General features: G+C 34.7%; 1 long non-coding RNA gene across 3 annotated transcripts in view; it reads left to right on the top strand.

Annotated features, from left to right (window-relative positions):
• The window catches only part of RNPC3-DT (RNPC3 divergent transcript), a 108,529-nt gene extending 82,525 nt beyond the window's left edge, over positions 1 to 26,004 (top strand). For 2 of the 3 annotated variants that reach the window (NR_168320.1, NR_168319.1), the window contains 4 exons: positions 9,888 to 10,093; positions 13,611 to 13,697; positions 24,169 to 24,239; positions 24,760 to 26,004. This is a non-coding gene — a long non-coding RNA (RNPC3 divergent transcript). The remainder of the gene's footprint in view (positions 1 to 9,887; positions 10,094 to 13,610; positions 13,698 to 24,168; positions 24,240 to 24,759) is intronic. The other variant, NR_168321.1, reaches the window with a different exon arrangement.
• The last annotated feature ends 379 nt before the right edge of the window (positions 26,005 to 26,383 follow it).

The following is a 26,383-nucleotide window of genomic DNA, read 5'->3' as shown; positions in this document are numbered from 1 at the left end:
AAAAGGACTTTTAGACAATGCTCAACTTTAGGCTCTGGTTCATTATAGAACACCCAATTTTGATGGACAGCGCAAATCACATGGTCATTTATCCCATGGTTGGCCATTCAGTCTTGTGCATATTTTAATAACAACATAAGAACTGTTTTTCAAAGGAAAGGTAGTTATTTGCTAAAGAATAAGTTTGCTTCAAAACTTTGTGGGACTTCAGTATGATTTTCTTATTGTGGATTGCTATAGGCTCCGATCAGCCAGAAGCATTTTGAGCATCACTGAATTTGCTGCATTATAAGGGTCTTGTGTAGAGCAACTTGCTCTGCATCTTGAACAACTGGAGAACAGCACACCCAAGGTAGTGTAAAATGCCTTCTAAATTAAAAGCAAAACAAAAAATGCCACGTGGTTTGAGGTAAACCTCCTTAAGAACGTTAGGATGTGCATGGTGCAGAAATCTATTACTTAGAGGAGCACTAGATTCATGGCTAAGCTTTGGAGAGGACAGTAATCTGTGAATGGTGAAAAGGAGTGATAAATGCACGGTAGTGTTAGCCAACGTAGCAGTGAAGTTAGAATAAATCCAGCTTTTGAGGAGGTGAAAAAGTACAGGAGGTAGTCTTCAGGAAGAGCCTATTATACATATGTGTTTAGGTAGAGAGAAAAAAAATCCTTACTATTTAAATTAGGCTAAGACGAACTATTTAAATTTTCTCAGGCAGTTTCAGAGACAATTATTTTGAGAGTGAAGATGAAAAGCTAAATAAGAATAGGATCCTTGCCCTTGTTTCCCAAGAGTACATGGAATATAAAAAAGGTATTCACAAGCATGAGAAATAATTTTAAAAGATAGTCCTTTAATATCAAATAATTGTCTCTCAAAAATATGCCCTTCATTTTGGAATTTTAATTGCATATGCTTGTATACCTATTGGTGGATGTCTCTCTATTTGCAATTTTTTGGGTTAAAGTCTCAAATTTATGCTTCCTCTAACTGTTAAAAACAAGGAGCTCACAAACTTCATCAATGTTTGTTAAAAACAGGAAGAAATCTCTCTAAAGTTTACTATAGACCCTACTATGGAGAAGCAAACTTGGACACCTGGAGATATCTGGACAAGGTAGTAAGAAATTAGGTAATAGGGTCACAATAGCCAATAATATGTCCTATCTGATTTCAGGTAAGGAGACCGAGTAATTTAGACAGTGTTATTTTTGTCTGGTAGTTAAAAACTTTCTGTCAGAGCAAAGATGAATGTAGCTATTTCTTTTTCCACCTTGTGAATATATCAAGCTTTTGAAAATTCATTCTCTAGTCAAATTGTTACATTAATCCATGATATGCTAACATCTCTGTGCATTTTAAAAGCGACTTTCTGCTTTGTCTCTAATGAGGAGAATTCCAGGAATGTCCCTAAGGAAAGATATGTTTAGCAGGTGGGACCTCTTGGTATTTCTCAGGTCATACCACCTACTCATATGGCCAGTCTTAGGAGCCACTGAAATCTAACCGAGGTATGTTTTCCTAGGTGTAACTCCGGAGCTAAGGAACAAAAAATCACTTCTCTCTTAAAATGACTTTTCCCTGATTATTTGTCAGGGACTGCATGCTGTCCTTCAAACTATAAGGTTGGTGCAAAAGTAATGGTAGTTTTTGCTGTTACTTTTAATGGTAAAAATCACAGCCACTTTTGCACCAACCTAATACAGTTTGGGCCAAAGTAGAGATGAAAGATGAGGGCCGAGAAGTAACTTAAAACAGATGCTATAGCTATAATCCTGTGTTTTTTACTAGTCAAGTACTTCATGGAATTTTCTACAGTTTGTTTTATCAACAATAGGAGTAACAACACCTTATATTTATGCATGCCTTTATAATCTTCAAAGCATATTTACATGCATTATCTCATCTGAACTTCACAATATGTGAAGGTCTGGAAAATATGTATATGTATGTGTTTATATATGTACATATGCATATATATACATATACATACATATACACACATGTAACTGATGTTTATATATCACTTCACATTTAACTTGATAAATATGACAAACATTTATCAAACAAAAACTTTATAAGGTGACAAACAATATCACATTTAATCTTCACAAAATCCCTATCAGAGATATAGAAAATGTATTACTAAATATCCATTTTTTACAGATAAGGAAGAAAATTTTGGAGAAGTCAACTGTCTTGCTCAAGACACTACAGTCAATAAGCAAAAAGAGACTGAATTTAACTCGACTTCAGATTTCTCATGTAGTTTGGATCCCACTAGACTAGCTATTTAACTGAAGAGAGTTCAATAACCCCAGTGCTCAAGTTGCACTCCACAGTAATTAAATAGGAATGTTTGGGGGTGGGACTCAGGCAGCAGTATTTTTTTTTTTAAGATCCTCAGATGATTCCAAAATTTGGGAGTATGCAAACTACTAAACTAGTCTTTTTTATTGTAATTTAACCTGACAAATATCTATTCACTTTTCAAAGTATGTTTCTAAGTTGCCGTTAACATAACTTCTCATTTGCTTTTTACCATGAATTTTATTCACAGAAGCTGTGAATGGTATCTCTAAACATATAAACGTGATTAGTAGGTTTTTATCAATGAAATCACATATGCTAGAAACGTGAAAAATAAATCGGCATTTATAAGTCCTATAAGAGGAAAGATTAAATGCTCACCTCTCTAGTTTTGCCAACCTATTAAGAAAAAAACAGACAAAACACAAATATGAATTCCTGAGAAATATTTTTAAGCGAAAATTCCTGTTTATTCCTTTTGGGAGCTACTTGCAAAGTTAGCCTACTTATCTCATTCTCTTATTATCATCTCTACTCCTTTTCTGTTTTTTTTCAAAGGGAATTTTGCTAATAAGATCAAAGGAAAACAAGCAACTTTTGCTATCAGTGGATATGAAAGAAGGTCATAGATACCCAGGAAGCCACTCTATGCTTTTTATAAACTAGGAGTCCAGGAATCCAGGTCTAATTTGGCAGGATTTTCTGTGCCCAGTAGACCAAGAGAATCCAATTCAGAATACTCCAGGAAGTCTGCCCTTATTGGAACCAGAAACTAGTATGATAATGCTTTTGAGGTAGTCCAAGTGGAAAACTCAGTCAAATGTTCAGGTTGCCCATCAGGTACAGGTTTGTTATCAACAACTACCTTCAAAGCTTCTGTCTCTAGTCAAAGAAGTAAGTGTACTTTAAAAGCAATAGTAAAAATAAAAAAAACCTCCTTTTTAATGGTTCTGGGCAGGTAGACTCTTTGAAAGAGCCAGAAATTTGTGGCAATGAGGATAAGATTCAGTGGGTGCAACTAGAGCAGTTCAGTATCTCACAAAGTCAACCAGAGTGTAATCCCTTAGAGCAAGAATGCAACTGAGAACTTACTCATTTCTAGTTGATTCCTCAGATTAATTGGTCATGGAACTTCTAAAAAGTTTGAAAATAGCTGTGAGAACCCCCAGATGGTTTGTGAAAAATGTCTTCCTGGCATATTAACTACTTTCAATAGAGTGGGTATTTTTCTTTTTCTCTTTACCTTCTTTGCTTTTTTTCTTTTTAGAAAATTTGAGCATGTCAGTTTCATTCTTTTAAGTACAAGTGGTAACATTTCAGTATTTAAAAAAAACACACCTGTGTCAGGGACAGACATTGCCCAGCAAATTCAATATGTGAAATCTTACTGTACTAGCAGACTTATGTAATACTGTCCTTGTGGTCTATGTTAGGATGACCTATAAAGCTGCCTGCTTTTCATTGTGGTACAACTAAATTCATTTGAATGTGATCCAAGATAAATTGGTTTTATACCATATTCTCCTCAGGATGAGTAGAGATTATAGAATTGGCACTGGATTCAGAGTCAGAAAATATTTTATTTTCTTGGCTCTGATTTTACATGTGCAATTTAAATTCTCTATGTTTCAATTTTCTCATTTATTTTTAAATGGACATGAATATACTTTTTTCTGATATACTGCCAGAGGTTAATCAAGGGTCAAATATGAAAGTTCTTTGCCAAAAAATAAAGTTCGAGGTATTATCTTTCACGTAAATCTTTCAAAAAGTGCACTTTCGCCTCTGTTTAAAAAGGTAGAAAGTGTCAGCTATTGCCTATGTCATGCTTGTGAAACAGTGGTGTGCATACCTTAGGAGAAACTATGTGGCATGCTGTAGTGCCACAACATGAGCACAGGAATTTTCACACAGTGTCAACATCACATTAATATACAGGCGAAAGTTTTATACTTTGATAAATAATACTAATATCTTGTATTAATCATGAACACACAAATTTCTCCTGAGTTTTAACAATAACACAAAAACATTCAGTATTTTGGCAAGTGGCAAGCAGCTTCAATAATACCTTGAGAACACTGAGGCATATTTATTTATGTTCTTCTCTGCTACTCAGAATAGTTAGGCAGAACATTTTGAGAAGCCCTAGTCCTGTATCAAAGTATCAAACTCTTCTGATTCATATATGAGCCTTCCATAATACTGGATCTAATTGTCTATTGACTCTCTTTTCCACTATATCCTATGTCTCAATTGAGGTTCTGATTGGTATATCTCCTTTAACCCATTGCAGAATGACTTTGAGGAGGTATTATGTATTTTATAAACAGTTCAGGCTGGGCATAGTGGCTCATGCCTGTAATCCCAGCACTTTGGGAGGCTGAGGTGGGTGGATCACCTGAGGTCAAGAGTTCGAGACAAGCCGGACCAATATGGTGAAACCTCGTCTCTACTAAAAATACAAAAATTAGCTGGGTGTGGTGGCACAGGCCTGTAGTCCCAGCTACTCGGGAGGCTGAGACAGGAGAATTGCTTGAACCAGAGAGGTGGAAGTTGTAGTAAGCCAAGATCACACCACTGCACTCCAGCCTGGGTGACAGAGCAAGACTCCGTCTCAAAAAAAAAAAAAAATAAATAAATAAACAGTTCATTCTATAATATACTAGCTTGCTTCCCTGTATTAAAGTTGATTTATCACCAGGTACCTAGAAGAGGGAAATAGGCATATTTAGTGTGTGTATGGGAGGGGAGGCAAGCACATGAAAACTGAAAGATTGAAATGACTTTAGTTGCTCAGCTCCTCTACTTTTCCACCCTAGGATCCATGGTACAAGTTTTAAGGTCTGAGCATCCTTTTCTTCATGGTGAAAGTTTTCCATATTAGATGATTATAACATCAATCTTCTTATACCATGGCTTATCTGTGAGCATTCTCACCTTCCCTATAAATTAAATTTTTTTTAAAGTTGTAAGGGTACAGATGAGTGTCAGGAAAGCTTATTAACAAGATTGATGTTCATCCATGTTGTTATATATATATATATAAGTACTTCCTTAATATTGCTAAATAGTATTTAATCATATTGATATACATTAATTTACTTGTTTGCCTATTGATGGACATTTGGATTGATCCAATTATTGGACAATTATTAATAAAAACTGCAATGAATATTCATGAGAAAGTCTTTGTGGGACCATACGGTTTCATTACTCTTGGGTATGTTGCCGGAAGTCAGGGACCCCGAACAGAGGGACCGGCTGAAGCCATGGCAGAAGAACATAAATTGTGAAGATTTCATGGACATTTATTAGTTCCCCAAATTAATACTTTTATAATTTCTTACACCTGTCTTTACTGCAATCTCTAAACATAAATTGTGAAGATTTCATGGACACTTACCACTTCCCCAATCAATACCCTTCTGATTTCCTATGCCTGTCTTTAATCTCTTAATCCTGTCATTTTTGTAAGCTGAGGATGAATGTCACCTCAGGACCCTGTGATAATTGCGTTAACTGCACTAATTGTTTAAACAATATGAAATCTGGGCACCTTGAAAAAAGAACAGGATAACAGCAATGTTCAAGGAAAAAGGGAGATAACCTTAAACTCTGGCTGCCTGTGGGCCAGGCAGAACAGAGCCATATTTCTCTTCTTTCAAAAGCAAATAGGAGAAATATTGCTGAATTCTTTTTCTCAGCAAGGAACATCCTTGAGAAAGAGAATGCGTCCCTAAGAGGAGGACTCTGAAATGGCCACTTTGGGGACGGCTGTCTTTTACAATCATAGATAAGGGATGAAATAAGCCCCAGTCTCCCGTAGTGCTCCCAGGCTTATTAGGATGAGGAAATTCCTGCCTAATAAATTTTAGTCAGACCGGTTGTCTGCTCTCAATCCCTGTCTCCTGATAAGATGTTATCAATGACAATGCATGCCAGAAACTTCATTAGCAATTTTAATTTTGCCCTGGTCCTGTGGTCCTGTCATCTTGCCCTGCCTCCATTTGCCTTGTGATATTTTATTACCTTGTGAAGCATGTGATCTCTTGACCCATACCCTATTTGTACACTCCCTCCCCTTTTGAAAATCACTAATAAAAACTTGCTGGTTTTGCGGCTTGGGGGGCATCACGGAACCTGCCGACATGTGATGTCTCCCCTGGACACCCAGCTTTAAAATTTCTCTCTTTTGTACTCTTTCCGTTTATTTCTCAGACTGGCTGACTCTTAGGGAAAATAGAAAAGAACCTACGTGAAATATCAGGGGTGAATTTCCCCCAACAGGGTAAATAAAAGCAGAACTGATGGTCAAATTGCAAGTTTATGTATAACTTTTAAAGAAAGTTCCCAACAATTTTCCAAAGTAGGTTTTACCATTTTGCATTCTGATCACCAATGTATGAGAGTTCCAGCTGCTCCACATGTGTACCAACACTGAGTGATATCAGCCTTTTTTTTTTTTTTTTGAGACAGAGTCTTGCCCTATTGACCAGGCTGGAGTGCAATGGCATGATGTTGGCTCACTATAACCTCCACCTCCCGGGTTCAAGTGATTCTCCAGCCTCAGCCTCCTGAGTAGCTGGGATTACAGGCATGGGCCACCACTCCTGGCTAATTTTTGTATTTTTAGTAGAGACGGGGTTTTACCACATTGGTCAGGCTGGTCTCGAACTCCTGACCTCATGATCCACCCACCTCGGCCCTCCAAAGTGCTGGGATTACAGGCATGAGCCACAGCACCCAGGCACTATCGACCTTTTTAATTCTAATTTTTTGGTCATTTTGCAGTGGTATCTTCCTGCACTTTTAGTTTGTATTTCTTTGATGATAAAATTGAGCATCTTTTAATGTACTTATTAATCATTTATATATGCTCTTTTGTGAAGTCACTGTACACATTTTGTGTACTTTTAATGGACCTGTTTGCCTTCTTATTAGCAAGTTATAGTGTATGTGTATATGTTGAAAATATTAGCTCTAGATCTGTAATTTGCAGAATTATCTCAGGTCTGTATTCATAGAATATATAGTGATGTCATCTCTTTCGTTTTTATAGTTACTATTTGCTTCTTCTCTGTTTTGTCTTGGTCAATCTGGCTAGCAGTTTATTAATTTTATCAATCTTATAAAATAACTTTTTTTTATCAATTTCCTCTGTTGATTTTCTATTTTCAATTTCAATTATTTTTACTTGTATCTTAATTGTTTCAATTCTTTTAGCAAGCTTTAGGCATATTTCATTTGGATTTTGCCAGTTTGTTCAGTTGGAAGTTTAGATTTTTTATGTGCTTCCAATTTCACCCTCTCACCTTTGAACTTTGCTGTCATATATTCTGTTTTCCACATATACTATAAACACATATTCGAAGGCTCTAATTTTGCTTAGAAAGTGCAAATACCTTTTGGAGAAATTAAAAATAAAAATCAAATATATATATTTTAACTTTCATTTGTATAATTTTCATTGTCATTGCTCTTCATTTATTTACTTATATTTAAGTTTCTCTTTGGGGTACTTATTTATTTATTTATTCTGCAAAGCCCTAGAAACCATGGGGTATTTTTTTTTCCTGACAGAATTTTTAAAAAATATGTCTCATTAGACAGACTCATTGGTCATAAGTTCTCTAAGCAGTATTTTTCTCTGGAAAAAAAAAGGTTTTTTTCTTTATTTTTAAATATATTTTTATTGATAATAGAATTCTGGGCTTATAAAGTTTTTTCAAAGCACTTTAATGTTACCAATTCATTATCTTCCGGTTGATTGTATATTATCTAACAAGAAGACTGCTGTATTTCTTCTTTTATTTTCGTTTTTATTTTTTTGAGACAGGGTCTTACTCTGTCACCCAGACTGGAGTGCAGTGGCCTGATGTCAGCTCACTGCAACCTCCACCTCCCAGGCTCAAGCGATTCTCCTGCCTCAGCCTCCCGAGTAGCTGGGATTACAGATGTGAGTCACTACCACCGGCTAATTTTTATATTTTTAGTAGAGACTGGGTTTTACCATGTTGCCCAGGCCGGTCTTGAACTCAAATTATCCGCCCGCCTCGGCCTCCAAAAGTGCTGGGATTACACGTGTGAGCTACCGTGCCTGGCTTGAACTTCATATAATTGTTCTTCTATACATAATATGCTGTTTTCTTCTGGCTGCCTTGTTTTATTCTTTGGCTTTTGGCACTTTTAATATGTTGCACCTAGTATTTTTTTTTCTTTTCTTAATTCCTGTTCTCCAAGTTTTTGGTTTTGTGATCTAATTTATTACATAAAAAATTCAACTATTCGTTAAAATATTTTTTAAATATTTAAAAATATACTTTGCCCTTCTTCTCTTTCTAGTATCCCAATTACACATCTGTTAGACTGTTTGATATTGTCCCATCGCATTGGATTCTCTGTCATTCTCTCTCTCTCTCTCTCTCTCTCTCCTCTTTGTGTCTTAGTTTGGGTTATCCTTTTTGACCTATCTTGACCTTTACTAATATTTTCTTCAGCTATGTTGAGCATACTCATGGACCCATTGAAGGCATTCCTCAGCTCTGTTACTATGTTTCTATTTTTTTCTAGCATTACTATTTTATTCTTTCTTATACTTTTCATCTCTTCAAAATACCTCATCTGTTCATGAAAGATGTCCACCTTTTCCTCTAGAGCCTTTAACATCTTAGACACTGTTATTTAAAATTCACTGATAATTCCAACATCAGGGCCTAATCTAATTCTAGTTTTGTTGATTGCTTATTGAGTTGTATCTTAACCTTCGTATGTGTTTGGCGGTGGGGGTGTTGTATGGGTATGTACGTGTGCGTGTGTGTGTCTGTGTATTTTATACACAGGCATCATGTGTTGGCAAGCAGAGGCTGAGAGAAATACTATTGATGCCTGAAAAGTGACAACCATCTTTCCTGGACAGTGAATTAAGGTTATGAGTATATCTAGCTGGCAGTGAAGCTGGTTTGTTTCTTTTTTTTTTTTTTTACACCTCCAGGTTTAGGTGGGTGCTCCACTGTTACCTTGTGCTTGAGGATTGGGAGCTGAATTACAGGAGGATTTTTCTGTGTTCCTACAGTACTCCCAGCCTTAGGCTTTCTCTACATGCAGAATATGTATATGTTCTTGTCCCTCTCCCAGTGGTTTGTTCTTATTATTTTATGCTTATATGCCTGACAACCTACCCAAAAGGGGTGAGGGTGGGGATAGAAGGTTATACTTTTGTGTTTTCTGTTGTCCTGGTTTAGTCTTAAGTAGGCTTTGTGTCCTTGATTCTTGAGGTTGTGTCTTTCTCAATGATCATGTCCTGCCCTAAGCAGTAAGGAATCTCAAATAGTCTGAGCCCAGAGGCTTTCCTACCGCCCCACAAAAGGTAGAGAAAAAATCAGTTCTTTCCTCCCTAAAATGTGGAAAGATGTCATCATCTATAATTCATCTAAAATATTAAGATGTCTTCATCTATAATATCAATGAAAGAGATCATTTGCTGCTCTTCCCTCAGTGGTTTAGGCTTGTGTATTGTAGGGAAGAGGGATCCAGGTGAAACTCTTGCTCTACAGTGTTGGCTGTTCTTCTCCCACAGATTGGCACGAGGGATACCAACACCGGAATATGTGATGAGATGTGTGAAGAGCATGGCAATGGATGCAAACTCCCTTTGTGTTTCTGGCTTTAAGCAGCTCTATACTCTCATGCTGTCCTACACTCAGCAGCAATTTGTCACAAGTTTGGGAAATTCTTCCTACTCTTTTGAACTCCAGCCCAATTTCCTTTCTATCACTGCCCTAGGTAAGTCAAAAATTGTGTCCTGTCTTTCCCTGAAAGTGCCTGTCATCTTAGATTTAGGGCTATTTGATTGCCCTGCAACATTAATTCTCTCATAGGTTCATGGAAAGTTATGATTACATAGGTTATCTGACTTTTTCTAGGTGTGAGGGTGGTCACACACTTTTTTCAGCTTATTCTATACTAAGCAGACAGGATAAGTTCAGATTCTTGTAGGGTTTAAAATGTTAACATTTTAAATAATGTGATATACTAAATTTGAGAACTTAATGAATGTAAACATTTGATTAAATATTTCTATCAGGTTTAAATATTTGGGACAATTTAATTTGTTAACCTTCTACATCTTTTGAACTTTTTATTTTGAAATAATTATAGACTCACAGGAAGTTGAAAATACAGTAAAGAGAGTCCTGTTACTGTTCACCCAGCTTCTCTGAATGTTTATATCCTGCCCAACTGTAATATAATCTTAAAACAAGTAAATTGACATTGGGAAAATCCCATTAACTAGACTACAGAACTTATTCAGATTTTACCAATATGTGAATGTGTGTGTGTGTGTGTGTGTGTGTGTAGTTCTTCACAATTTTATTGTGTATATAGATTCATATAACTAATACACAGAAATGTTTCATCACTGCATAGAAGCTCTCTTGTGCTAAGCATCTTCTCATCAACTCCACCCCCACAATCACTAGCTCCTGTTAATTGCTAATCTATTTTACTTCTATGTTTTCATTTTCAAGACATTTTATTTTGTCATTTCAAGAATGCAAAAGACATACGTAGAGTTGGAATATGTAACCTTTTGAGATTGGCTTGTATTATTGCTTTTCAGAGTCATTAAAATTTTTGCATGTATAACTTGCTTGTTTCTTTGTGTTACTGAGTAGTATTCCACTGTATCCATGTACCATAGTAACTTCAACCAGTCCCCTGTTGAAATTTTTTTTTCCAATTTTTGGTTATTATTGATAAAGCTGCTATGAACGCTTATGTGAAGAAAAGTTTTCATTGCTTTGAGATAAATGTGTAGATATGCAATTATTGGGTCATCTGAAAAGTGTATGTGGTTTTATAAAAAGCTGCCAAACTATTTTCCAGAGTAGTTGTACCATTTTACACTCCCAGCAGCAATTTATAAAAGATAGAATTTCTTTGTATCCTTATTAGAATTTGATAATATCACTATGTGTAATTATAACTGTTTTACTATATACGTAAAATTCAATTGTTGTTTTAATTTGTATTTCCCTAATGGCTAGTGATTTTGAACATCGTTTTATGTACTTTTTGCCATCTGTATATTGTCTTTGGTGAAAAGTCTACTCATGTCTTTTGCCATTTTCTAATTGGATAGTTAAAAGTTTTTTTTTTCACTAGTTAAGGAGTACTTTATATATTTTAAGTATGGTTTACAAATATTTTTTCCGGGTTTTAGCTTGTCTTTCATATTCTCTACAGAATTTTTTTGTAGAGAAAAAAACTTTAATTAGGTCAAATTTATCTATTTTATTCTTTTAGTGATTGTGTTTTATTCACATCTAAGAACTCTGCCTAATCTCCCACCTAGAAGATTTTTTCCTTCATTGTCTAAAAGTTTTATAATATTATATCTTACAATTAAACTGTTGATTCATTTTGAGTGAATTTTTATAAAGTGGAGGTTTTATTTCACGATGTATTTATTTTGGTGATGGATATCTAATTGCTGCTACATCACTTGTTGAAATGTACACATTTTAGCTTTAAGATTAATACTTATTTAATAATTAAAAGAATATTTATTGCTTACAAAAAATTATAAAATGTACAAAAGGTGCTAGTGACTATCGTATTTCATGTGCAAAAGCCTTTTGGCAGTTATGAATCTACCCACACTAACATGGTGATAACATGTTAATAATTATAACAATAGTAGCATGATGAGAGTATTACGAGCACAAAATTTAATTTATTGAGGAAATACTGATAAAGAATAACAGTGTAGAAGAAAAATAGAATGTGAACAAAGCAAAGCAAATCTATTGCACAATTTTAAGGGTCATTGACATTTGGGAAGATTACTTTTCTTTATAGCACATTACATATTATATGTGTAAAATATAAACATGCCGTTAAGCAATGTTATTTTTTAAAGTTTGCCTTGTTTCTCTTGTGTTTTCCATATTCTTTTTCCAAAAAGCAGTATCTAAATCCGAAATGACTAGAGCATGCTTCTTATACTCCTTCTGTATTTACATCTTCTTTTGTCTCAAGGTAAACTTTCTCACTATTCAAGGAAGCTATAAAATATGTAGATCACTGCCACAAATTTTTTTTATTATTTTGAGATAAAATGGAACCTAGAGAACTGACATTTTATCCAGCTGAAATGAACCAATGTTAAATAACCTGGAACCCTCTAGCAAAAACCCTGAAGTTTTAGATTTTTCATCCAAAGAAATTAGACATTATCTAACCAAAGGTACAATTATAAATGTACCTAACCAAAATGACTGCATTATTGAGTGGGAGTACAGGTTTACAGCTTAAGAGAAGTTTATAAAGTTAAAATTTATGAAATAATATTTAATAATTGTTATTAAATATTTTTATTAATTATGTAATTTATTGTTATATACTTATATATAATATATAAAACAAAAAATTGATTTGTATTGTTTTTATAAATATATTTTATTTTAAATAAAGATAACTAAAAATTGAGCCACATGAAGAGATACACCATATAATTAGACATCCAAAAATTGGGTTGTAGAAAGGGTATATAATACTTTAATTCAGATAGAATTAAGCCCTATCATATTAGCAAATAGTACAGTTGCAATGAAATAATAGTTTTGATGCAGACAGCATGTCTAATATATTGGGCCATAATTATTTATTCCGAATAAATGCTTTTCTGGATTCCTAAGAAGCTGCATTCATTGTTCAAAATTATTAAATTGCAGATTATTGTTAATTTGAAAAGTCTACATTTAGAAACCCCTTAAATTGTAATCGTTTGTGTGTTGTGTTTGTTAAAATGCTATAAGATACTTGAAGCTATATATGTCTATTTCAGGATTGATATATATGTTATTTACAACATGTACTTTAAGCTGCTTCTCAGTGTCCCATTAATTGGAATAGGCAAGAGATATGTATAAATGAATGCCTTCATTACTTTTAAATTTTTCCTTGAAAAACTTCTAGCTCAAATATCACCAAATGACTTAGCATATTATTTATTTATGTCTTTATACTGAGAACATAGAGAAAAAAATAAAATTAATTTTACTTATCACAACCACAATACTTGTAAGCAAATAGGTAAAAGAACAAAAAATCTGAAAAGATATGTTCAGAGAAGTACAGAGTTAGGAAAAGGCGAAAATCAAGGGGTCATTGCCATGGCAACTTGTCTATAGTCTGCCTCAATAACTACAATTCTCATATGACCCTCATATTTCTTCTCTTCATATACAAGGAGAAATCTCATTCTTCTTTCTTCCACATCCTGAATTATATTTAGGTCTTACTCTTCCAGAAGAAAAAGGGAAAACCCAACCTGAATGTCCCCTAAAAGTGAAGAAATGTCCACACTTCTATGTGCAGATTGGTAAGAACTTTCTCTCATTTCCATTTACCTCCTTGGCTGGAATGAAGTGAGTGCTGGTAAAATTGCTTCCTCTTACCCCCGGCTGGTGATCGATGCAGGTGAGAACAATTGGTATTACTAGTGATGATTGATTATTTCTCTCTGGAGTATCTGAGGGAAACCCAATAACACTTCTTTTTAGGTAAAAAGAAGATATTGGAGCTCAGAGCCCCTCTTGGTTTAATATATGTGCTCTGGGGTATTTTCCGGGGACCGTCTTCAACTAGTAAGAAAAGAGGAAAAACAACTTGGCTGAGAGTTATGTACCTGCTTTGTATTATCTACCTATGCATGTAATATTGAAGATTTCATTCAATGAGTTATAGCAACTCATAGCAAAGTGGAAGCAGAAATAGTCTTTGGTTTTTAAATGAAAGTTCTCTAACTGAAACTTTTTGATACTGGAATTATCTTCCTTTCCTTTTCTATTATTCTCTTATTGAGTTACAAGGAAACAGAAAATAGAGACACCCAACCCAACAGTATGCTTTTTGAGACAGAATCGTACTCTGTCACCCAGGCTGGAGTGCAGTGGCCCCATCTTGCCTCACTGCAATCTCCGCCTCCTGGGTTCAAGCAATTCTCCTGCCTCAGCCTCCCAGGTAGCTGGGATTACAGGCACATGCCACTAGGCCCAGCTAATTTTTGTATTTTTAGTAGAAAAGGGGTTTCACCATGTTGGCCAGGCTGGTCTCAAACTCCTGGCCTCAAGTGATCTGCCCACCTCGGCCTCCCAAAGTGCTGAGATTATAGGCATGAGCCACCATGCCCAGCCAACAGTATGTTTTTAATGGAGTAAAGCAAGATCCAAGTTGTCCCATTCTAAGTCATTCTAGAATAAAATTTATATAGAATTTATATAGAATAAGATGTTGGTAAGGACTCTGAGATAGACGGCATCGTTATTCCGAATTGCTTACTCTTATACTTGGAGAGAGTGAATACATCACTGCCCACTGCCATGTGATGTGCAATGCTCCCTCTTAAGAGAGAGTCTTACTCCTGCTTCATTCATGCCTTATTTACAGCATGCTTTGGCCATATGAGTAGCTCTGACCAGTGAAATAGGAGTAAAAGTGATGTATAGCATTGCTCATTCATTGCATGGTTGCAACATTGCTTTTCTTCTTTCATAAGATCAAAATAGGGCTGTTCTTTACACCTTGGTCCAGCAGTGAAGACAATATGAGGCAAAGCCACAACTGAACAGTGAAGGATGAGTAACGTGCAAGAATAAACCATTGTTGCTGTAAGGTTATTGCCACTAAGATTGTTGGGGTTATTTATTACTGCAAAATAACTTAGAAAAACTATTAGCAAACTTAACATAAACTCAAAAAAGAACTAAAGCTCTTATATGAATAATTGTGCCTCTTAATACTCACCTTCTAAGATAAGCTTCCTCCCCACTTTTTCTCCATTTCTTTCATTTTTTTCTTCATTCATGTTTGTGTGTGTGTACACACATACATAAAAATTTGGTTATCCATAGTAAAATCAAATGTGTTTTTAATACTTTTAGAACAGATAATTTTAAAATACTGAGCATTCTTAAGCTGAAATTGAAACTTGGAAAAACCACCACAAAGCTAACCTTAAAAATGAAAATAAAAACAACCAAAAATGTAGATGGAGTCAATTAGATCTTGGAATTGCTAGGGCAAACAAAAGAAAAGTTTTAATTTTCTGTTTTCTGAATGTTCAATTTTCTTTTCTTTTCTCTTTCTCTCCCTTGTTCAATAAAATGAGGAAAACTCTATGACTACATTTTATTTTTGTCATTATTACACACATGGTAGTAAGAATAATAATGCAACTGAGAACAATTTTAGTCTACCTCTATGCCATTCATGGAAAGAAAATCAATAACCATCCCTAAATTGAAAATGTAATACTTCTCTATTAGATATGATACCACTAGTAATATTTCTGCTTAGTCAAGGAGGGGAAAAGAACTCATTTGCTTATCTACTCTCCTATTTTCTCATCAATTCTTTCTCTTGTCAGGACTGTGCTTTCCCTGAACATGATGAAAACACAAGATTGAGTGCCATCCTATTTATTGTTGTGGTTGTCCTAATCTAAACTAAGCCTACTTTTGAAGTTTCCTGGATGCAAAGGTGGTTAAATCCCAAATGCTTATGGTTCTTAAAAAATATAAACATTCTTTCCCTCTGGGATAATAGAAAGTATAATTTTAGAATTATTCTCCTGGTATTAATTTATATGCTCTATTTTATTCTTTCCAAACTTGTGTTTATTCAGTGGGCATGCAATTTTAGAAATTAAATTAATAAATGATAATCTCACCTCATATTTATTCTAATGCTTACAAAGAGTATGTGTAACTTTTTCCAGTGCTACCTTATTAAGCTTCCTTCCCCTAACCTGCAAAAGAGGGTAGTCTTAAGTGCTTACAGTGAATTTGTAACAAGAATCTCTTTTTCCACCTCATTTTCTCTCTCTCTCTCTCTCTCTCACACACACACACACACACACACACACACACCCAGACACAGAACTGGTGTCTCAGGTTTCATTACTGCTATAGACTCTTACCAAGGAAGAATAAAGCATCTTCTTTCTCCATACCTTCCCTGTTCCCTAAAAGTCAGAAATCCTCATTATATTAATATTTTTTAAAGTCGGTGTTCCCCCAAGTAAGTAATATATTCAAGAGGGAAATGAACAACACTTTTTAAAGGCGAGATTATTTCAGAGAGGTAGGCAGTGAAAGTCCTTTTTTAGTGGGAGCCGATGTGACTAGCCCAAGAGTTTGAAGTTACCTGAGATTTACAAAAGGAGCTTTGGCATTTCAGTTTGCTATGGAAACTTGTGTCCAGACGGCATACATTGCCCCAAAATGGGAGTGGATTACAAGATTGCTGTGTGCTTTTAGATGAAGGTCAGTGCAGAGAACTGGAATGGCATGAATATCTGAATTTGGTTAAACTCAGAGGAAACCAGTGCCTAAAAGGTAGTCAACATCACTGCTCAATTGCAGCAGCGAGAAGCTAAAGGAGCAAGGCTAAGGAGAAAATCATGATGAACTGTTTTTTAGGCGTTGTATAAACTCAGGAGTTTTCAATGTTTAATGAGAGAGTCTCAATATTGACTGAATTGAAATTATTGTCAGTATTTCGAAGCTTGGAGGATATTTGATTTAACATGGTGACTCAAAATAAAATTCCTTAGACTTGAATATTATGGGGGTAAAATTAATATCAGTTATACATGAAACAATTTGGGTACTATTATAAAACTTTATGAAATATATATTTATGAGGAAGACTAAAATACTTAGAATTGAGGGTTGTTAATTTTCAGATAACGGCTTTTACTATGTTGGAGAATTAATGAATAGTGGAACTCCCATAAAACCCTGTGGATTTGGGGAATACCAGTGATCTGATACGAGATTTAGTGTGAATGGGGCTTATTAAATATTTTAAACATTGGGAGCAGATATATAGTGATTGGCAGAATGCTCATTAAGGGAAGAGAATTTAGCCTTTTTCAATAAATAACTTTGTTATTCCCAAGAGACTATTGAGAAATAAGGAACATGGAAGAAGATATTTAAGTCCCCTATCTCAGACTTCAAATTTCAAAAATGACTTGATCATCTCCATCTGAGAGATGAATACATACTAGCCAATGTCCTCAGTGTCCTTCAGGAGTTTTTTCCAAATTATTTTTGGGGCCCCTTAGTGAGTTATGAAATCAATCTGGGAAATCACCACAGGCATTTAAAAAAAATCAAATGAAAATATCTCATTGCATCACATAGAATAAGACTCTGTACTGTTTTATTTTTGTTACATATATTTTTATATACCTATATACACTTATAAACACATAAAAGTTTGTATAAAGAGTCATAATGAAAACCATTATTTCTGACAGAAATTCAGATCAAATGAGTTGGAGACCTCTGTTTTATTTTATGGAAACTTCCATATTCCTCCTAGCTTAAATATCATTTAAATATGGGCTGAAATTTTAAGACAAGGGAAAACTGCACTGACAGTGAGTGGATAAATCCCATGAACTCTGTTTTTTGAAGAGGATGAAACTTTGGGTTGATTGAGAAGTCCATTTGGAGAAGATTCACTGCTAGAAGAATGGAAGGCGTCTGGGGTCCTGAAATACAAACAATGATGAAATGGAGTTAAAGTCTTGAGTCTGAGGCTATTTGAGTCTCAAAAAGTGTTCAGTGCCATGGCTGAATGTCTCAGTAGTTTAGAATAAGCTTCTTTTCAGGTCAGTTTTTAAAATACCATCCAGAGGGTTGGTTAAAAGTTTTTACGTTGACTGACGCTAGAGGCTTTGGAGACTTGACTTTGGCCAGAGGAGCCATAGACCCAGGGAGTATGGCTCAGGCCCAGCATGAGCAGGCAAAGGGAGGGGCTGCTCTGAGTAAACTCTCCACTGTGAGCTCAGCCTGGTGGAAACTGAACCCCTCCCTTCAACTGTTCAACTGTTTTCAACTTTAAAAACTCATTAGAGAAGAAAATGAGGGGGAAGTGGTTGTTCACTCCAGGAGAGAGGGAGTCAGGCATGAAAGAGATGATTTTAGTGACCCAATTTCAGACTCTGCCAGCTAGGGCAGATGGAGACTTAATATACCAACTGAAGACTTGATTGTTGCTTTGTGTATTCCATTAATCTATATGTGGGTGCTCCTCCACAAGATCCTTAATATCCCAATACTTTGGTATCTGGGCAATCCTTTATCCACCATTTTGCAGTAGCTTGGGCTATACACTACAGAACTGAAGACTTCTAAGGGAAGTCTGAACCTAACACAAGACTATAAAGCATACTGCTCAACTACAAAGAAGACCATTTCAGATGTAGCTGTCTAAGATTTCAAGAAAGCATAAGGGGTATTTACTTTACTTCGTGAGTAGGGAAGTTAGATATTTCATGCAGATTTTTCTTGCAGTTGTAAATGCTAAAGCCTAAAAGCAGTCGTAAAAGTTTCTAGGACTGAGTCTGCGATGAATAAAAAGGCATTTAAGAGGTAACTGTCAGTGAGTCTGAAGCTTCAGGGCCTACCAGATAGACAGTAGCTATCAGAATTTCAGACTAGCATCAATGTGGCCAAGGGAGCAATAGTCAAGATGGCAACAATCTTGGAGCATAGACCAAGAACATTCCCTGCTTTTCTACTGTGACACTTGTCCAGAAATTGTATATTATCCTGTGGATCTATTGTGGCGAGGAGACTTCAAAATGAGTGACAATGAATTTCTTACCATCCAGGCAGGTGCAAGTTCAAAGAAGATTAAATTTGATATAAAACAATAATAGAATATGAAAGCTTTTATGCAGTGTTGTGATGTGATAAACACACACACATGTAAATGCATATAACCTATTCATTTAAAATTAATATATATTTATAATGCATTTAGTTCTCATTTCAAATTTATTCATACACATTAGGTTTAGTGTAGAGTCTATGTGTATGGGCTCTGGAGTCAGATGGCTACAGCATGAATCTCAGCTTATTTACTATGTGATCTCGGACAACTTGCTTACCTTTCTGAGTTTCAGTTTCTCACCCATAAAATGAAGATGATAACATAGTTGATCTGCTTAAGTGATTCTTGATTGCTAAATTTCTTAGAAATTTCTCTTGAATGTGGAAAGAATTTAGTAAATAATAGATCTCTTTAAAAGTTCTCTTAAGACATAAGCTATTTTCTCTTTTGAATACATGCATTTGACATTTTAACTTATTTTCTGTATTTTTTATTTTTTATTTTTATATATATAATTTACCCTCCAAACTGCACTTTTCTCTGTCACTTCATAAACTAGTTTTCACCCCGCATACCTGTATATACTTGCACGCCTTCCCCCAAATTGTATGCCCAAAGTCTGCCCCAGAGTTTATTTAATATTTTCTCCTCTTCCACTCTCAATTTTGTGTTTCTTATGTGGCAGTAAAAATTTTGGACACAATTTTACTTCTAGTTTCATGACTGTCTGAGACTGAGCATCAAGTTCCACTTTATTTATGTATCACTACATTCTCCATCCCAATTCCTGATACTGGATTCAAGGCTGCTCCTTAGTCCGTGCACTCAGTCAACTAACATTGGTTTTGCTTGTTTTCTCTCTGCCAGGCAGTATGACAATCACTAGAGATTGTCACAGATAAAATAACTCCTGATATCCATTGATATAGCTGTAAATCTTGCATTTGCGTGGTATGGCTTTACTAGCCAATAAAGTTCCCCTTTTACTTAAACCAATGTCTTAGTCCATTTGGGCTTCTATAACAAAATGTCACTGACTAGGTAGCTTATAAACAGCTGAAGTGTATTTCTTACAAATCTGGAGGCTGGAAAGTCCAAGATTAAGGTGCCAACAGATTCAGTGTCTGGTGAGAGCCTGTTTTCTGGTTTGTATGTGACACCTTCTAGCTGTGTCCTCACATACTGGGAGGATCAACACACGTCCCTGGGGATTACTGGTATCATTGGATCTTTGTCCTCTCCAAATCTCATGTTGAAATGTGACTCTCAATGTAGGAAGTGGGGCCTAATGAGGTGTTGGATTATGAGGGCATATTCTTCATGAATGGCTTGGTGCTGTCCCCTTGGTGATGAGTGAATTCTTACTCTATTAGTTCATGGGAGAGAAGTTGTTTAAAAGAGCCTGGCACCTCCTTTCTCTCTTGCTCTCTCGTAACACCTCTGCTTCCCATTTGCCTTCCACCTGGTTGAAAGCTTCCTGAGGCCCTCACCAGAAACAGTTGCTAGCACTATGCTTCTTGTACAGTCTGCAGAACGATGAGCCAAAATAAACCTTTTTCTTTATAAATTACCCAGCATCATGTGTTCTTTGGAGCAATGCAAAATGGACTAAAACAGTCACTAATCTCATTTATGAGGGCCCCACCCTCATGACTTACCTCTCAATGGCCCCAACTCCTAACGCCATCACATTGGTGATTAAGTTTCAACATAAGAATTTAGGGGCGGATTGGGTGGGACACAAACATTAAAACCATAGTAACCAATTTGAGTTGGGTTTCTTTCACTTATAACCCTAAATGTCCTGAGTAATATGAGACCACTTCATCATACACTAAATCCTCATGTACACTAGAGTCCTGTTTTGTATGATATATTCTAATGTATTGATTTATGAATTTGTACCAGTCCTTGGACTTGAATTGCATTGTTTTATTATAGTAGCTTTACAATATATTTTAATGTGTTACTGGAAGAATCTTCACTAATCACATATTCACATTTTGGAGGGAGTATTTTATATGTTGATTTTTCCAAGTGAACTTTAGATTTATTTTGTCTTGTTTTGTTTATAAAGCATAGAAAAGGAACAAGAACTCTGAAGTGTATGTTGGTGTTTTTACTGAGAATATATTAATTTTATGTGTTAATTTTGAAGGATTGAATCTTTCCAATATTGAATTTGACAATACAAGAGAACAGTATATTTTTCATTTATTCAAATCATTTACAATACTTAAGTGAATTTTAATGTTTACTTCCATACAGTTATATTGATTTTTAGATTGATTTACTCAGAAATATGAAAATTATTTTTTATACTTACGCAAAAAAATCTTTCCTTTTGTTATACTGTCTTTTATTTCTTTCTTTCCATTTTTTTTTTTTTTTTTTTTTTGAGACAGAGTCTCACTCTGTTGCAGGCTGGAGTGCAGTGGCCCAATCACTGCGACTTCCGCCTCCTGGGTTCAAGCAATTCTCCTGCCTCAGCCTCCCGAGTAGCTGAGACTATTAGCATGCCACCACACCAAGCTAATTTTTGTGTTTTTAGTATAGACAAGGTTTCCCCATGTTGGCCAAGATGGTCTTGATCTCTTGACCTTGTGATCTGCCCACCTCAGCCTCCCAAAGTACTGGGATTACAGGCGTGAGCCACCGCACCTGGCACCTTTTGTTATACTTTCTAAATGGTTATTATTTGTGTAAATGCAGGATTTTGATTTTTATAATATGCTATTTTCAGGTATTCTCATTTTAATTTCAATTGTTTTTGTTTCTAAGTATTCAAACCATCACTGCAGATAAAATAAGTTTGCTTCTCACTTAATTTTCTTGTTTAATTACATTGATTGTACCTTTCAAACAATTTAAAATAAAGTGGTAACAATTGTTTTACTCCTGACTTTGCTAAGAATGCATGCTTATTACACAATTAGGCATAAGGTTTCTGCTTCAGAAATTATATATGGATGTTTAACTTTTAAAATGCCTTCTTTGTGTTATATGATCTTTATTTGACCTAATTTTATATGATTTTTAATTGATACCAAACCTTTTTTTTTTTTTGCATATCTAGAATAAATCCCTTTTGGATTTGCTATGCTCTTTTAACCTTTATTTATAATCTTTGCATTGAAAATAATGAGTAAGAATCACATGCAATCTCACGCTGGATGCTTTTGAAACTTTTTTTCCCCTCTATCTGTAGAATAATTTAAATTCCAGAAAGATAACAGTTTTTTCAAATAAATATACTTTTTGAGAATACCAGCAAGAGCTTGTCACCATTCTTTTAGAAAAAAATCTATCTACATTACACAGAAACCCTAAAAACCCAACCAATTTCCTAGAGTATAGCTGAAATATGAACATTTGTAAGAGTGATGAACTATTTGTTTAGGATTTAATTTGGTTAAAACATGACTTCTAATCTCAAAGTAATTGACATGGTTGTTAAAAATTAGCTGCTTTGTATGCAGAAAAACCTTTTCTTCTATTTAAGTCAGTTTTTTCCCTTAAATTGCTTAATTCTCTAAAATTTCCTCCAACACTTTCTCAAAAATGTGGATACTAAACGCACAGCACTAGTCAAAAAGAAGATCATGCTGAAAGAATGGTAGAGGATAAGACATAATGGTACAGTTGCCTTGCGTATGACACTGTGATGCACTGATCATCAGCCATATCTATGCCTGAATCTGCCAGCCTGTCAAGTGTATTTTTATTGCAACTTGAATATTTTCCTGCACACCATTTTCATGAAAGTGTTTTACAAAGTGTAGAGGATTAAAATATATTTTTTTCCTTTATTACCGTTGACCAAAACCTTTGTACTGAGAAATAAGTATATTCTCTGAAATTTAGGTATTGAAAACCAAGAGGTTTTCTATCAAGAAAATGTTTCTATTATAAAAACATAGAAATATTTTCTATTCTTGCAAAGACCTATATGTAATCTTAAAATCTTTTAAAAGTTCACTTTCCAGAACAAGTTTTGAAATATTTGTTGCTAGAGTTTCACCTTTCCTAGATAATTATCATGTCTACTACTATCACAGATGAATTTTGCAGCACTTATTATTAAGATAAACTTGATAAGACAATTTTTACTTGTTCATGTATTAAAATTGTACAATTTTCAAATATACTAGTTGTGTCCTCCAAGTCTATTATAAATGGAAAAAATTCAACTTCATATTTAAATATTATAAGAAATACTTAAATGCGAGTAACAGAAGGCCAATGACAGTAATAGAATCTTTACTTTTGAGGTAGTTTTAGTCATAAGTAACAGATGCCAAGAACAAAATGGAACTTATTGAGATAATATTGATGCCTAATGGGTTCAGAGATCTTAGGAAGGGTTGACACCAGGACAGCTCCAGAAAACTTACCAGCAGAGACACTGGGACTTCTTTTTGGAGCCAGAACTTTAATGTGACCCATCTCAAAATAATTCTGTCTCTTTCTCTTTCCATTAAAAACTTTAAGTTCCTGTATAAATAATCTGGACTAGAAGTATCAATTTTCCACTGTTGCTTTGATATTTGACGGCCACTGTGAGATGGTCATCAGATGCAAGTGTGGTCACCCTGGACCTATTCTTATATATCAATGACAATAAGTACAGTAAAGGACATTTTAAGCTACATTGATGTTTTTCAAAGCTATCATATTGTAATTCTAATCTTTCTGGAATTATTCACTATGTTCATTGTTCCCAGGAATGAGCAAAATAACTTTTACCATTTATATTTAATAGTGAATTATTTAATTCTATCCCAGTCGTGGGTGTTACAAGACAAATATCCTACTTGGGAATTCCTTATATCTTAAGCAGATGAATTAGAAGAATGGAAAATTGGCTGCTGTTTTTTTTTTAATGTGAAAATACCTACAAATAGTAGAATTAATAACTATGTTAAAAATGAATTTTTAAAGTCTGCATCTAAAATATTAAAATGCTATTTTTTGAAGCTATGTGCAAAATTTCAGTTTGTAGGATTGCATCCTGAAACTGCATCATCACCATCAACCAAAACCTTTATTTCTAGGAGTTAAAGAGTGTATGTTTCTTTATATTAATAATGTACTTTATATTAATTAGCAAGAAAGGCTTAATGACTTGATAATGGTTATGTAATCTGACATACCTTACATAGGTATCTACATACAGACCTCTTGGAGGAGTCAGACAAACAAGATCTTGAATCTTTACTGATCTCAGTTGAAAGTGAGTTTCTATTTTGTGTGGCAAATATTTAAGAGAGAGAACACAGGAGCAATTTGTTGCTGCATAATTATGTTAAACTTTAAATTTGACCAGTGTATTTTAATGATAAATTTCTAGTAAAATTAAATTACTTTATAGAATTTCAGATTTATTTTTACATTGCAGAAGTTCATTCTATGATGGTTATATTTTAACTTTGAAACATTGACTCTGGTTGAGTGTTGATTTTAATTCTTGGGCATTTGACAGTTCACCAAAAAGTCTTCCCAGTATATCTCTGTTATAGATCAAATTCTCTATAAATAGTGGTTGTAACAAGGGAACATGGTGCCTTGCATGCTTTTTGGAAAATAGCCATCTTTTATTAGGAGAAGTTTTCCCTTGACTCAGGAGCAGCTTCAGGATATGCATATATAGAGTAAAGAGGAAAGGAGAGGCTATATTATCTATTCATTAATTCTGGCAATTTGTGATGCTTGAGGTAGATATTAAATTTGCTTCTTATTTTTTTGGATTACAGTAGACCTTTGGAATCTACATTCAACATTTGATACTGCGTGTGACTCCTGATGAACACGCTGAAGATACATGATGTCCAGTAATTTTTACTGGGGATAATACCTGCAATATACATAAGATGGTGTCATTAAAGTACATTTAAAATTACACAAGACATTTTAAAATTACATAAGTGTATATAAGGAGTTTAACACAAATTTCAATTACCTTGGCTTAAGATGATTTAGCTGTTTCGTAAGTTAACAAAGACCTACCATTTACTTCCTACTTAGTCTATGGCTGAATTTGGCATTTTTGAAAATCTTTTGATAGCCTCTGAGAACTTACTATTATTTGTACTCATTTACTTCCTAATGAAAGCTATTAACAAGATTTATTTTAGGAAGTTTATCTCAGACAGGTTTATGTCCTTATGGAGCTTTCAATCTTAATTTCAAAGACGAAAAGGAAAGTTGTGTGTGAAACAGCACAGAGTACTTTACAGCTTGTTGCAAGAGCTACAGGGAGCAGCATGGACAGTGGAAACTCACATAAAGTTCTTCAAAATTTACTTTTTCTTTTGCTCCCTGAAAATTGTAATCAGTTCCTCTTTTCCTACTTAACATGAAAAATAAGTCCAATGGAATAGTCTGTTGATTAATAAAGTTCTATCATTTCTTCTTCATGAAATGACTAATTTAACAAATTAAATCCTTCATTTATTAAGGTTTGTTTATTACTTATTTTTCCTCTATTCCTTTCTCTGAGCTACAAATCACAGAGATTTATATTTACTTAAAATTTTCTTAGCACTACCAATTTGCCTATTTAATGATCATTTATGGCCCATCTGTTGTATTACTTGGGATATTTTAAATTGAATTGATAGAACTTTATATTCAATTAAGTAGAAATACCAATTCCAGAGAAGGACTCACTATCTTTATTTAGACTATGATTTGGCTTTGTGTCCTCACCCAAATCTCATCTCAAATTGTAATCTCCACCTGTCAGGGGAGGGATCAGGTTGGAGATGATTGGATCATGAGGGTGGTTTCCCCCACGCTGTTCTCAGGATATTGAGTAACTCAGGATAGCTGATGGTTTTAAAGTGTGGCACTTCCTCATGCTTGCACTTCTCTCTCCTGCCACCATGTGAAGAAGGGCCTTACTTTCCCTTTGCCTTCCACCATGATTGTAAGTTTTTTGAAGCCTCCCCAGCCATGTGGAACTATGAGTCAATTAAACCTCTTTCTTTTATAAATTACTCAGTCTTGGGTATTTATTTATTTATAACAGTGTGAAAATGGACTAATATAGACCATGTGCATAATGCTTAACAAATTATTGCCAGAAGAATTTGGCATGTACCATGATGAGTCTAGACTGGGCTGTTTGCCCAGAGAAGAGGTGCTGGAGGGAGAAGTTGAAGATATGTGTATATAAGACAAAGGAGAAAACTAACCAAGTCTGAGATGTAGTTTCCTTAAGAATAAAACTTTATATTTTATTAATTTTTTTTTACTGTTCTTGGAAGATAATCTGGTTCAAAACTGATGCTCAATAAATCATTGTTGAATAAACGAATGAATGGGCAATACTGCTTCCTAACATAGTACATTACTCTTCTGAGTAACTCTGCTAGT

The sequence above is a fragment of the Homo sapiens genome, chromosome 1 (assembly GCF_000001405.40).
Source record: "Homo sapiens chromosome 1, GRCh38.p14 Primary Assembly".
NCBI classification, from domain to species: Eukaryota; Metazoa; Chordata; class Mammalia; order Primates; family Hominidae; genus Homo; species Homo sapiens.
Note: the sequence above shows the minus strand (reverse complement) of the source record. Positions and strands in the feature narration are given on the sequence as shown.